The 15517-nt window shown below is 41.7% G+C and overlaps 1 protein-coding gene across 10 annotated transcripts in view, besides 1 other annotated feature; it reads right to left on the bottom strand.

Moving 5' to 3' along the window:
* Window positions 1-15517, bottom strand: part of THSD4 (thrombospondin type 1 domain containing 4) — a 686490-nt gene that overhangs the window by 116928 nt on the left and 554045 nt on the right. For all 10 annotated transcript variants that reach the window (NM_001394532.1, NM_024817.3, XM_047433080.1 and 7 more), the window contains one exon: window positions 5722-5926. In NM_001394532.1, the coding sequence (NP_001381461.1) occupies window positions 5722-5926 (205 nt within the window). The remainder of the gene's footprint in view (window positions 1-5721; window positions 5927-15517) is intronic.
* Window positions 9716-10915: an enhancer, noted in NCBI's record as "BRD4-independent group 4 enhancer chr15:71947880-71949079 (GRCh37/hg19 assembly coordinates)". NCBI's record gives its function as "activates an origin of replication core promoter dependent on BRD2, P300/CBP, MED14 and CDK7 cofactors, and independent of BRD4, by STARR-seq in HCT116 cells {active_cell/tissue: HCT116}" and the evidence as "EXISTENCE:reporter gene assay evidence [ECO:0000049][PMID:35650434]".

Here is a 15517-nt window from a genome sequence, read left to right as displayed (position 1 = left end):
TCAGGAAAAATAACTTAGGGGTACTAGGTTTAATACCTGGGTGATGAAATAATCTGTACAACAAACCCCCATAATACAAGTTTAACTATGTAACAAACCTGCACTTGTACCTTTAACTTAAAAGTTAAAAAAAGAGAATCCTAGGGATGCTCATTTAAATATTGAGGGCTTAAAAAATCATTTAAAATGAGGTAATTCAAAAAGAACAAAATACTTAGGAATACAGCTAACCAGGGAGGTGAAAGATCTCTGAAATTTTAATTCAAAACACCACTCAAGGAAATCAGAGATGACATAAACAAATGGAAAAACATTCCATGCTCATGGATAGGAAGAACCAATATCATTAAAATGGCTATACTGCCCAAAGCAATTTACAGATTCAATGTTATTCCTACCAAACTACCAATGAAATTCTTCACAGAACTAGAAAAAACTATTTTAAAATGCATATGGATCAAAAAAAGAGCCCCAAAGGCCAAGGCAATCCTAAGCAAAAAGAACAAGGCTGGAAGCATCACGTTACCTGACTTTAAACTATACTACAGGGCTACGGTAATCAAAACAGAGTGGTACTGGTACAAAAACAGACACATAGACCAGTGAAACAGAATAGAGAAATAAGGCCCAGAAATAAGGCCACACACCTACCACTATCTGATCTTCGACAAAGCTGACAAAAACAAGCAATTGGGAAAGGACTCCCTATTCAATAAGTGGTCCTGGGAGAACTGGCTAGCCATATGGAGAAGATTGAAACTGGACCCCTTGCTTACACCATATATAAAAATCAACTCAAGATAGATTAAAGACTTAAATGTAAAACCCAAAACTATAAAACCCTAGAGGACAACCTAGGTAACACCATTCTGGACACAGGAACTAGCAAGGATTTCATGATGAAGATGCTAAAAGCAATTGAAACAAAAGCTAAAATTGACAGATGGGATGTAATTAAACTTAAGAGCATCTGCACAGCAAAAGAAACTGTCAACAGAGTAAACAGATACCCTACAGAATGGGAGAAAATATTTGCAAACTATACATCAGACAAAGGTCTCATATCCAGCATCTATAAGGAACTTTCACAAGTTTACGGAAAAAAAAACAACCCCATTAAAAAGTGGGCAAAAGACATGAACAGAAGACATACTTTTCAAAAGATGACGTATGTATGGCCAACAAGCATATGCAAAAAAGCTCAATATCACTAATCATTAGAGAAATGCAAATCAAAACCACAATGAGATACCATCTTACACCAGTCAGAATGGCTATTAATAAAAAGTCAAAAAAGAACAGATGCTGGCGAGGTTATGGAGAAAAGGAAACACTTATACACTGTTGCTGGAAATGTAAATATTTTCCAACTATGGTGGAAAGCAGTGTGGTGATTCCTCCAAGAGCTAAAAACAGAACTACCATTCGACCCAGCAATCCCTTACTGGGTATATACCCAAAGGAATGTAAATCATCCTACCATAAAGACACATGCATGCATATGTTCACTGCAGCACTATTCATTATAGCAAAGACATGGAATCAACCTAAATGCCCAACAATGACAGATGAGAGAAAGAAAATGTGGTACATATACACCATGGAATAGTATGCAGCCATAAAAAGAATAAGACAATGTCCTTTGCAGGAACATGGGTGAAGCTGGAGATCATTATACTTAGAAAACCACGCAGGAACAGAAAACCAAATACCACATGCTATCACTTACAAGTGGGAGCTAAATGATGGAAGACATGGACACACACAGAGAAACAACAGACACTAGGGCCTACTTGAGGGTGGGAGGAGGGAAAGGATCAGAAAAAATAACTATTGGATACTAGGCTTAGTACCTGGGTGACACAATCTGTACAAAAAACCCCAGTGACGTGATTTTACCTATATAAAAACCTGCACATGTACACCTGAAGCTAAAATAAAAGTAAAAAATAAGATTAAATGAGGTGATTAAATCATCAGCTTCAGCATTAATAAATACAAGTCTGCCTTTTTCATAGAAATCTATTTTCTATTGTTACTGGGGAATCAGTTATTTAAAAAAATACCAAATATTTCACAGGGAAAGTTTTATTTGCATGACAAATAACTAAAGGTAATTCTGGAAACAACAGGAAACTAAAAAAAAATAAAGTTGTAAAAGTTCTGGAATCTTTGGCTGGGCATGGTGGCTCATGCCTGTAATCCCAGCACTTTGGGAGGCTGAGGCGGGCGGATCACGAGGTCAGGAGATCGAGACCATCCTGGCTAACACGGTGAAACCCCATCTCTACTAAAAATACAAAAAATTAGCCGGGTATGGTGGTGAGCGCCTGTAGTCCCAGCTACTCGGGAGGCTGAGGCAGGAGAATGGCGTGAACCCGGGAGGTAGAGCTTGCAGTGAGCTGAGACGGCGCCACTGCACTCCAGCCTGGGCGACAGAGTGAGACTCTGTCTCGGAAAAAAAAAAAAGTTCTGGAATCTTGAAAGCAATGATACAAATGTGAAGTATTCATTTCCTTTATATTGCTTATTCTGCAGATCAAACTTATGCAAATAGCTGAGTAAATTTTGTGTATCAAGTCAAATTTTACAGAAAATACAGTTTTCATAGCCAGAACTCACAAGGTAAGAAAACCAGAACCCTCATTGTTACCTAGAGAATTATGGAGAAACCTACCACATATCTCTTTGAAAAAGGTTTCAGTGTTTGACAATGTACAATGTAAAAAATAGCCGTCGAAGAGTTCAAAATAGCTAGATACACCTGGTAGTGGTTTCTACATGATCTCAAGCAATCTCATGTATATTTACTTTTAAAATATACAGACTTCACAGAGCAGGAATAGTGGGTTTGGTAAAGAGAACACCTGTGAAGAGAAAAGGGCCGTAACCAACGTACACTTCAAAAGGATGAATTTTATGGCATGTGAATTATAGATCAATTTTTTAAAAAGAGAATACACAAAGCACCCCAGGTGACGTAAGTGCTCTAGAAGGAATCTCTGTTCGTCATCTCTGGAATCTGCTTTCATTAGAGCCTGCTCTTTTGTTTCTGCTCTCTCTCCTTCACACACGGGACCTTATGTAATATTTTCATGGACGCTACCGATTTCATGTGCACCCCACTGATCTTTGGGCATAGGAAGTTGAACTTGACTTTTTGAATCACCTCTCCATTGACTTTTTTCTTTTTCTTTTTTTTTTGATATAGTGTCTTGCTTTATTGCCCAGGCTGGAGTGCAGTGGCACGATTACAACTCACTGCAGCCCTGACCTCTTGGGCCCAAGTGATCCTCATGCCTAAGCCTCCCAAGTAGCTAAGACTATAGGCATGTGTCACCGCATCTGGCTGATTTTTAAATTTTTTTGTAGAGATGGGGTCTCACTTGATGTTGCGCAGGCTGGTCGTGAACTCTTGACTTCAAGCAGTCCTCCTGCCTTGGCCTCCCACAGCGCTGGGCTTACAGACATGAACCTCCCTGCCCGCCCCTCACTGACTCCATTTTCCCTCTGCCTTCCCTTCATCTTTTTTAAGGAAAGAGGAAATGTTTATTCCACAATTTTGATGGAATCAAAACTGACAATCTCTCTGAGACAAAAGAAAGGCAATGAACATTTGTCAACTGCCTAATAGGTGTCAGGGGCTCTGCCGAGTCTGAAATATCTGTATCCTATTGAATCGCATGACTACTTATAAGGTGAAGATTCTTATTCCCATACTCCAGATGAAAACAACAAGCCTCCGAGAGCTTCCTCCATTCAGACATCCAGTAGATATTCACCCAGAATGTCTATTTTTTATTCAGGGGGCACAGCTTGAAAACTGCTTACTGAATACAACTAACTATAGCCAGGGAAAATGTACTAAAAGCAACACAAAGCTAATAAAAAGTGGCATTGTTTGCCGGTACATCTGAACACAATCACAATTCAAATAATCCCCAGAAGAACATTTCCCATTCTAGGAGGCAGGATGTTTATGGAGATGTGATCTCATAGCAGTACAAAAGAAAGGAGGAAACACACAAACACTATTTTTCAGTATTAAAAAGAATATACAAAGCACTCACTGGGAAACTAGGTTTTCTGACACTCTGGTGGCTCCTGGGTTTTGTCAAAGCAAATTGAACAGTTTTTCTTTGATTGGGTTTGTCTCTGAGTCCCATCTGCCATCCCTTCCTCCTCCCCCCCCGTAAAACCACTTAGTTTTGGCTGCATTTGACTAGATGGGGATGGAAGAGCTGTAGAATATGGAGTTCCCGAGTCTGGAGTTAACTTGTGGGTGATCCTGATATTTGAAAGTTGCAGACTTAATAGTCTTTCAAGTGCTGCAGCCATTGACTGCTGCACGGCCAGTGGCACACCAGAGGAACTTAGGTTCTGAGACTGCCCATGGGTATCATCTCTTGACAGGCTACTACACCTGGAGCTAGACTGCCTGGTCTGAACCCCAGCTCCACCTCGTTATGGTATGGTGAGCTTGGCAAGGTACATAATCTCTCTGTGCCTGCTTTCTTACATGTAAAGTGGGGATGGGAATAGCTTCTTTTCCCTGTTGAGAGAATTCAAAGATTGAATGCTTGCAACACATTAAGAATAGTGCCTGACACATAGTTTGTTTTAGGTAAGTTCCTGTTCAATAAATAATTAAAAGATAAAAATGAATATAGCTATTCATTAAACAAATGGCTCCCTTATATTGTTAACTGATTTAAACATGCTTACATCTATTAGAAATTCATAAAAAGTAATTTGTTCAAGGCCAGGCGTGGTGGCTCATGCCTGTAATCTCAGCACTTTGGGAGGTCGAGGTGGGCAGACCACTTGAGGCCAGGAGTTCAAGACCAGCTTGGCCAACATGGTGAAACCCCATCTCTACTAAAAATACAAAAATTAACTGGGTGTGTTGGTGCACGCCTGTGGTCCCAGCTACTCGGGAGGCTGAGGCAGGAGAATCATTTGAACCTGGGAGGCGGAGGCTGCAGTGAGCAAAAATCGCACCACTGCACTCGAACCTGGGTGACAGGGCAAGATTCTGTCTCAAAAAAAAAAAATAAATAAATAAATAATGTGTTCGATTGGCTTGTGGTTTTTATCAGATGGAATGCAAATAGCTCCAAAGTCCAGAAGGAAGTATCAACAAAGATCTTTTGTAGAAAAATGGGTTAAAATTGGCCTCTCAGTATTGATGATGTTGCCCAAAATGATTGCTGGAGGATTCCACAGCTTTTCAGAAGACATGCACACTACTATGTATAGGTCTGCTGCCCCAGGCAGATGAGGCAGAAAGAAGAGAAAAATGGCTTCGCTTTAGACCTCCAGGGAGTGAAGGTATAGATAGGATCAATTGTCCCTGGCCACCTCAAATCCCAACAGAACAAACACTGGCTGGTCTCCGCGCTTTGCAAAGAGCTTCTCCCATCTCAGAGCAATAATTTGGGCTGTTATCCACTTTATAACCATGTTTCTCTTGGGAAAAGCAAAGGCTGGTTTAAATGTATAGATATTAAGTATTTATCTGCAAGAAGGACTTTTTTTTTAACGTTCTCCACTCAAGCTTCTCATTTCAAGGCGCAGGCCAGGTGGTACTTTGACATTCCCCAGGGGCACTGCCTGCATGCCCCGGGACTCTCGGACACTGCTGTGTCTATCTCACAGTTCTGAAGGAATACATCATCTGGCAGGGACAGACGGTTTTCTCTGGAAAAAGACCAAGCTTACCCAAATAGTTGTTGCTCTTGTACATCTCCGTGATGTTGATTTTCGTGGCTCCCTCGGGAATCTCCACGACGCGGTGGTAGCCCAGGCTGGTGAGGGCATGCTTAAACACGCCCGACACAACCTGACAGCCCGTGTTGTCTCCTCCACACACCCCACATTTGTCCACGACTTTGTCGGAGCCTAAGTAGTCATCACAGCCAATGCTCTGCAAAAAGACAGAAAACAAAAGACTCATAGTATGTATCAGGAGCATGCAGAGGAAGGAAGGGAGAAGATCCCTGGGCAAGAAATTTCTTTTCTAGCTATTTACGAAATGTATATTCTAGGAGTGGGGTGGGAGCCACAGACGGTAAACCAGACAAGTAAATAAAACAGAGTTTGTTTGGTGGTGGTAAATGATCAGGAGAAAAATAACACTGGGAAAAAGACTAGGGAAGATGTAGGGTGCTAGAAATTTACTTAAACAGGTTGTACAGTGAAGTTGTTCTGAAAATCCCCGTTGGACTCTGGAAGGGGAGAGGATGGTCTGTGCTGGGATTTTTATATAAAGAATCTCTCTGGAATCATGACAAGTGCCACATCTGAAACTGAAGTTTGCCCTCATGTCTTCTTATAGATGCTACTCTTAGCAAAGTACCTCCAAAAGTAGTGTTCCCTGGACCAGTTTCTTAGGAAATTAAATGGTTTGGGAGCTGAACCTCTAACTGGTAACTGTGGCTCTAGAGGCCTCAGAAGCAGGACTTTTCCTTGGTTACCCCAGAGCACTTTTCCCAGAGCAGAAGGATGAAGGTAAGCAAGAGCCAGAATCATCAACAAACGAGATCATAACCTGCTAAACCACAGAGTGCTGTCTGTAGAGCTGGTCTCATCAGTGTATAAAGGAATTCTGACTTTCCTGAATTCCCTCCCCCGACAAAAGGAATCTTCCCATTACTCATTCTAAGATCTTTTTGCTTTATCTCTCCCTCCTCATTCATGTTTCCGTTGGGACCATTTTATGTCGCACACACAAATTAAACTTTGGGCCAGACATGGTGGCTCATGTCTGTAGTCTCAGCACTTTAGGAGGCTGAGGCAGGAGGACTGCTTGAGCTTAGGACTTTGAGACCAGCCTGGGCAACTCAGTGTGATCCAGTCTTTACAAAAAGTAAAAAATTAACCAGGTGCGAGGGCACACACCTGTAGTCCCAGCTACTCAGGGAGGCTAAGGTGGGAGGATCACTTGAGGTCAGGAGTATGAGGCTACAGTGATTGCATCATTGTACTCCAGCCTGGGCAACAGAGCAGGCCCTATTTTAAAAAAACCAAAAATTAAACTTTGGAACAAAATGGAATGATCTTCACAAAATCTTTTTCTACTTCTGAAGCTTTCCACTCCTGACCTCACAGGGCTCAGGATCATGTTTCCTGAATCTAAAATTGGGACTCATGTTCTGAACAAAGAATTCTGTCACTTTTCCATGAGCAGATGGAAGTGGGTAGATTATGGTTTGGACAATGAAATATTGTGAGTACAGGATTATTCACTGGGTCATGAGGATATGGAAAGATACTTGAAATCAGAATGGTATTCTAATTCTTGAGACACATATTCTCCAAATCACAGGCTTGTCCTCTTTCTTGAATTCTAAGTGCAATAATCAGACCACATCTCTAGGACAAAGTGAGCAGCAAACCAGTCAAAGTCCACTTTTGATTTTGTTATGCAACCCTGGGTCTCTTCAGGTAGGTCCTATAGGTCAAATCCTGTGGGCAGAGTCAAATCAAAAGGTGCCCATTCCTTCCCCTCTAGTTGCATGCCTGATTGAAACCTTTCTGCAGGCACTGCCCTTGGGCATTATTGCTTCCATATTCCCAAGCGCACATTGACCCATCAATAATGACTGGTCTCTCTTCACAAATAGCATCTCTGTAAAACATTATCTCTGACAGTAATAGAACATCATCTCAATATGCTCATCCACATCCAATTAGCCTTTCCAAATGCCATGTTTGCTATGTATTTCTCCTCCCTCAAATCCTTCTCAATCTGCCCCACGCACATTTTAGCAGAAAAAATAAGGAATATGTTTTCCATGTGTGATTTCCATAGCCCCACCCCCCTTGAATTCTCCCTTGCTTTGAAACAACAACAACAAAAATGTCACCATCAACAGGGGTTTTGAATAGTAGAACCCATGTTATCAAGGCAAGATTCCAACTGAATCAAGGAGATGCCTCTGACTGTCATCAAGGGGGAAGGTAGACAGGAGAGGTGGTCAACACCCATTGCCTGCCCTGTCTAGTGACATCTCACACTCCCTCCCTTCCCAACCTCCAGTCTGTTGCTGCTACCCCTGGACTCGACTTGTCCAGACTGAGCTCATTCTCATAGGGGTCCTTCTGTTAAAGGGAACAATGTGTACACAGGTAGGAAAGAACACAGAATGACACGGCTGAAGTGCAAGCCTGCTGGGAGGGATAATACGAGGCTGGAGAGTTCAGCGGAACTTGTCAAGAATCTTGTTTGCCAGATTGAAGAATTAGATTTTCATCCTATGGCATCAGCAACCCCCAGATGTCTGGAGAAGGGGAGAGCCATGCTCAGACTTGCTTTTCGGTGGTAACAATGACTGCAGTGTGGAGCGGGCCTTACCTAGAGTGGAGACAATGAACCGTCCAGTGAGTCCCTCTCCTGTAACTAGGGTGTCAGAGATATTTCAAGAATGAATGAGAGTCGCCAAAGATGGGACAGACGTCACATTAATCACATTAATCCTCAGCCCCAGCCCAGTTAGAATGGAACTATCACAAGGAAATTACACTAGCATGGATAGCTTCAGATAACCACAGACACAGACAAAATGTTATTTGATCTTGTGAATCAGACATTATATGAAAATGCTCTGCACAGTTTGATGGACACACCCCCACCAGATTTCCTGCAGAGCATGGTTGCTCTGGATCAATCTAGACATGGGAAGGAAAGGCTGCAAGAGTTTTTCCTGGTAGATGTCGAAGTAGCCTGGAGGTTGGTTTCAGTGAAGCATGCGGCTGCACAAGGATGCCAAGAACTAAAGGTGACAGCCTGTCTACCGGGAGCCATGATCAATAGCTTCCTTAGAACATACTAGGAGCACTCTTCAGTGTTCTAGTGGCTACCCAGGCCTCTAAGAGACTGAGTTCCCATGGAGTTACCAAATATCTCTCCTTTACTTCACAAAGCAAGAGGGACAACTCCAGAATGAGAACTAGGCAGACAACACATATTCAAGACCTTAATATTTAGCTGAGGCCAAGGGCAAATTACACACATGACAACTGTCCCTTCTCCTGCACAGGGCTGTTGTGAAGATCAGATGATGTAATGAGGGAAGAATTGGACTAGATGTCTAGGAGGGCATGGCTGGGGAATGACCTCTGGACTAGGATCTGAATGACATGAAGGACCTGCCATGACAAGATCGAAACACGTAAAGATGCATTTCATCACTGATATTGTTGAGTGACTACACTGAAAAGGCTGCCTGGAAAATCCCAAGCTGAATCAGACACAGGTCCTGACTTTGGGAATCTGAGTCTAACAGGAGCAATCAGACATACACATAGAGAATCACAAGCTATCAGGCCATGAGGAACGCTTGCATGCTCTATGTCGTGCTGGACAGGATCAAATCTCCTTTAGAAAGTCGATAATTAACAATTGGGTACATAAAGTCTGGAGGATGTTGCAATATCCCAGCCTGAATGAGGGGACTGGGGATGGCGTGAAGGGATTTGAGAGATGCTTAGGATGCAAAATGAACAGGCCTTTCTGACTGTCCTCATCCTCCTCCTTGCCATCTTCCTCAACATTATCATGTCTAACATTTACAGTCTTTACTATCTTCTAGGTCCTCGGAAACATATATGTTTTTCCATTTAATCCTAAAAAGCCATCTGTGAGATTGCTGAAATTTATAGGAAACTAAGACTTAGAAGACAGGTTAATTTGCCCAAGGCTAAAATGCTAATAATAGATAGAGCTTGGATTTAAAGCAAGGCCCCAAATCAAAGTCCATGTTTTTAACCATTAGGTAAAAGTCGGAGGTCAAAGGATCGGAGGTCGTGTTGAGGGTTCTAGCTTTGTTGAAGGAGTAGATCGTGACAGTGACCTAGGTGCAGAGGAACAAGTTCAAAGCATAGTTACCATGAAGCCTGGAGAGGGCCTGGCCTAGAAGTGACTCTGGCTTTCTCCTCTTGCAGGATTAAGAGGGACCAACCCCATTATGTATCTCTCTTACACTGGCTCTTTTAACATTATACTTTATACACAGTGTGTGAATACATATTCTAGCCCATCTTCCTGTTGCATTACTTTCTTATTGTTATAATGTTTTATTTTGAAATAGTGTAAGACTCATAAGAAGTTTAAAATGAGCGCAGAGAGTTTCGGTGGTCTTTCACCCAGCTTTCCCTAACGATAATATCTTACATAACCAAAGCACTTTGTCAAAACCATGTATGCCATTGACAGCAGTATACTACTATTAACTTAAGAATAGGCCTTGTTTGTATTTGTTATCTTTTAGATGCACTTTTTTTGATGTTTCATGAACTATTATCACATGTATAGATTACGTGCTATGACTTTCTTTAAAGCAGCCGATAGTCTCCTCCAAAACACAGCTGTATAATCATTAGGTATAATCACTAGCTGATGTCATTTATCAGGAAAAACAGTTTGGAATAATGGAAAGAATGTTGGGCTGCAAACCAGAAAACCTGGGGTGCAGTCCTGGCCCAGTCCCTGGCTTGTTGTGTGATGCTGGATTGGTCACTTCTCTTTGAGGTAGGTGCTGAAAACATTTCCACCACCATCCAGATCTTCTTCCCAAGGACAGTGTTCAGAAACGAATCTGGCTTGAATTCTGGTTTGTGTATCAGGAGGCTGATCAATTGGTCGCTGATAGGGACGACTTAGTGCTGACCTATGTCTAGACTCTTTCCGAGGCACCACTGCTTTGGGTGGGCAGGAGAATATGCGTTCTTGTGCTGTCTCTGCTGCTGACGAGTGCTGTATCTTTGGACATTTTGATGAGCTGTTCTGAGCCCTGGGATTTTTTTTCTGCCTGGATGGGGATGGAGCAGCTACCCCTTAGGACTGTTGGGAAAATCAAATGAGGCAAACATAGAATGTAATTAGCAGAATTCTGCAATATGGTGGCTTCTCAGAAAATGCTGGGTTTTGTCATCTTTGTCTTTATGTATTTTATTTTGTCTGAAGTCTATTCACTTTTAAGTAAATCTCATCATCATACAACCACCCGGACCCACCCGTACTTCTGTAACACTTTCTACTACTTCTTAGTCAGAAATATTTTCTTCTTCATTTGGTGAAATTCAGAAAACTTTGAAGTGCAAAAAACAAAACAAAACAAAATCGGCCAAGGTTCACCATAAAGTCAAGACACCTCATACAGCTTCTACATTCTCACTGCTCAAACGGTACCTGTCGAAAAAGGCCAGAAAGAACATCTACTCTCTGATCTACCTTTATTTTATGTTTCTTGCTCATCGTGTACTGCTGTTCAGAATAGATATTTCTTGCTGTTACAAAGACCAGTGGATAACCATCAGATGTCCTTTGTATTTTTTCCAGTGATTTCTGCAACACGTTGTAGGAAAATTTTACACATCGCAAGCCATCACAGGAGAAATTGCTCAAGAATTACCCCCAATTGTGTGCCAAAATTAACCTGAATGAAATTTCCTGAGGGAAATGAGCAATCTGGATGACATATTTGGAGGTGAATTTCACAGGGAGGAGGCCTCTGTCCTTCACAGCAGGGTAGGCTGGTGCCAGGCATTCAGATAGTGGAGGTCCTGATTCCCTAATGGGAAGCAGATGTGTCTGTGTGTGCTCAGTAAACACATGAGATAGGGTAACCTCAACTGTTTGGCTAGATGACCCCCACAGGTAAAACAGCGTGCCTTAATAATCATGCTGGTAGAACAGTATGGGAGAATATTAAAATGATTAGTAGCTGACACCAATTTACTTATATTTACGGTGAGCTAATTCGTGGAAATGCATATGGATGCCAAAACGTTTATTCATGACATTCTGTTGAAAGAAATCCTTTGTATATGATAAATATCTTCCTGTTATTACTGTTAGGCATGTAGATCAATACCACCTTCCTGGAAAGCAATTTAGCAATATAGACCGTTTGATCCAGTAAATTCTTCTTCTAGGAATTTATGCCAGGAAATAAGAAATCAGGCCAACAGTTTCTGTATGAAGGGCTCATCACAGTATTGTTAATAAAAAATTGGAAACATCCTAAATGTTCAACATAAGGAAACAGTTAATCTATTCTGGGTGGATCTTTTTCCAGTTGTTATTCTCATTAAAATCTTCTAACACTTATGCCTGTAAAACTGACCTTCGATATAGTTCAGTAAATGTTTCCTGAGCCAACTTCAACTACGTGCCAATTCAGTGGTAGGCAGCGGAGACATGAAGGTAAAACAAACAAGGTTCCTATTTACAGTCTAAATCAGGGGTCAGCAAACTGTAGCTAGTAGGCCAAATCTGGCTCACAACCTGTTTTTATAAATAAAGATTTATTAGAACACAAACACTCCCATTTGTTTAGTTATTGTCTATGGCTGCTTTTGTGCTGCAACAGCAGATTAAGTAGTTGCAACACAAACAGGAAAGTCGACAAAGCCTAAAATATTTAGATCTGGCCCTTTACAGAAAAAAATTGCCAATCCCTGGTCTAAATTGAAAGTCAGACACAATCAAATCACTTCAATATTGTTTGTAAATGTCGAGTCCTGTGCAGCCAAAACCAAGGCTCAGGTAGATGCTTCCAAATCTACCCCTGACTGCCCTCATCCTGTATCATATACACCCACTTGATTTGTTCCAAAGTGACTCAATTGTAAAACAGAAGGCAGAGAGTTGTCTTCTACCACAGTAGTCTTCAACTTTTTTAAGTAGAAAAAAATATACTTCAAAAATAAAATCTCATGTGGAAATCCAAAGCTCCACTATGCAAAATGAGAAGAGCAGAACTGCTTTGGTTGAAGGACTGTCAGGGTTTAGAAACCTAGCTTCTCATCCTCCTGCCTGCTCTTCTTCCTCAAGGTGAGGGCTTCTCAACTCCAGCTCTACTGATGTTTTGGTCCTGAAAGGTCTTTCTTATGGGGGTTGCCTTATGCATTGTAGGATGTTTAGCAGCATCCTTGGCTTCTACCCACCAGATGCCAGGAGCATCCCTCTCAGTGTGACAAACAAAAATGTCTCCAGACATTGCCAAATGTTCCCCATGGGAGCAAAATCACCCTCAGTTGAGAATCACTGCTCTTTATTCCAAAGCTCATGGGACACCGAGGAGCACATGACAGATTCCCCAGAAAGCTTTAAAATGATGGTAGTTCCACAGAAGTGCACAAACAGCCTTTGTAAATGTCAGAGAAGCTAATAAGCAAAGAACACTTAATTATCCAGTTTCCAAAAATAGTTCCTTACTGCTATCAAACCTTCTCGAGTTCTTTAAGATTGCCTCTTGGCTTAGCTTCAGCAGGAGTATCATTATGTATTGCAAAGAGCACAGTACCTGCGACTTGGTAGGTGTTTAATAAGCGTTTGTTGAATGAAAGAGCAGCTGGTTGAAGAATCAAAAGATCAAAGTTACAGGACCAACCTGCTCTTCGAACTGGCTCATCTCTAAGGTCCCTTCTGGTGCCAAAATTTTTCTTTTAAAAAGAGATACAGCCCTGATATGAAGAATCCTGCCATGTTTAAAGGGAGGGAAATTTGCTGTATATACACAAAATTAAATTGGAAACAGGAATCAATGAAGATCAAATTGACGATGCCATTCATTTGAAGAGAAGAAATGGTCCATGGCATAAAAGGTATTTTGGCTTCCTAAATGAAAGCAATTGTAAAACGAGCGATCTGGTTTTAATCAAGCTTATGGCTGTCACTTTTCAGTACCTCATCCTAGTTCATAATAGGATAGCATCTTATCAAGGGACTCAACTGGAAGAAAATGTTGGCGCTCTTGTAGGATAAAACTGGGTAAGAATCAACTGCAGCTATGTTTACAAATCTGAAGAAAGGAGTCCCGAGAGGTAAACATATCATATTCTGTAAGATAATTACCACCTCCCCCAATTCCAACAAGGGTCATCGTTCTCTGGAGGGTGGGGATATCCCAAACTCTAAAATTCTAATGCTTTACTTTCATAATTTTCCTCCTCCATGGATTGAAATGGGGGAAGGAGGAGAGAGGCCTGAAATAGCTTTTGACAGTGATAATTGCTCTATTATAAAAGTAAGGTAACCATATTTTTGTATAGAATACTAGAAACCTCTAGACTTTCACTTTACTTTTAATGTGTAGAGCCGTATGGTGAATTGTGTTTAAAGAGATCATAATATGTCTGGCCAGATTTTATTGTAATTTTTTAGTGTCTCAGGAGGGGCTGGCAGCAGGAAAAAACCACGTGGGATGGGTCTGTTAGAAGCTGTGGTTTGGGGCTGATAAGGGGTCAAGACTAGGAAGTTCCTTGCAGAATGGAGCAGAGAGACACTGCCTACACCCTATAAGGCAGAGTTCTGGAGGCTAGATTATCAGCAAAAAGGCAATAGTGAGTTGGGTTGATGAACTCTGATCCAGGATGGAGGTTGCTTGCACACTGGCCTGATTTACAGGGCCTCCTGAGCGCAGATGGCCTGTGTCTACCAATGCAGGTCCCCAGAAGGCTCTCACGGGACCGTCCCCATGGCCAGAAGGCAATGATGGAGATTCACGCCGGCATCTTTGTCATTTCCTTAACACACAGCCAAATGTGCCTGTTTGCATTTTTCTCCACAAGATGGCACCTCTAAGCCTTTGCAAGAGGGTACTTACCTAAACAACTAGTTTAAGTACAAGAAGCAGTGATCCAACATTAACAAAAACAATGACTGTTGAGAAACACAAGAAGGGTGGACCCAGAGATGCAGGCTGACTGCATATTTACTGTGCTCTTATGTGCAAGTTTCTGCCATGTTGTTAAGGCATGATTTCATTTCTTAAAATTTTTTTGGAACATCAAAAAAAAAAAGGTGGGTGAAATATTCAAATCTTGTATTTCCAAAATGTTCAAGAAAAATGCTTTAAAATCTGTGTAAATGAGTTACAACATTGGGGAATATATAGGCTTCTTAGCTATCATTGGGCCATCTCCAGGGACGGCTGAGAGGACTGACTGGGTGAGTGGGACGAGATGATGAGAGAAAAGGCTGGCAACGAAAGTGTGGGATCTTAAATCCGAAGACTCTTGAGTGGGAAATGGCAGGCTGAAGAGCTCTTTTCAGAAGATGTCTGGCAAACACGGGCAATGGACTGGAGATGGAAGAGACTGGAGACTGGGACACACACAGACAACTGCATTAAGATGGGCACAAAGTGATGGAGGCCTGGACCAGAGAGATGAAATTAGAATGGAGGGCAAGGGCCCACCAACATCACGCTGAAGGAATGGCCAACTGGACTGAAGATGGATGTTCTACCAAAGGTGGAGTAAGGAAGACCAAGGTTCCTGGCCTGACAACCTGAAAGAATACTAGTGTTCTTGAGGCAGAAACTCCACTGGGGGGCAGGCCTTTGATGGAGCCATCTTACAGCAAGGGTCTGAGCATAGATCTTGATACTCATTAATTCATTCATCGAATTTAGTTATAATAATTCTCTCTCTCCCATTCTTTCATCAGAATTTTCCTCTAAAACCCTATGCATTTTTATTTTAGCTTTTTGGATAGGAATCCTTCTAA

The sequence above is a fragment of the Homo sapiens genome, chromosome 15, assembly GCF_000001405.40.
Source record: "Homo sapiens chromosome 15, GRCh38.p14 Primary Assembly".
In the NCBI taxonomy this organism is placed as follows: domain Eukaryota; kingdom Metazoa; phylum Chordata; class Mammalia; order Primates; family Hominidae; genus Homo; species Homo sapiens.
Note: the sequence above shows the minus strand (reverse complement) of the source record. Positions and strands in the feature narration are given on the sequence as shown.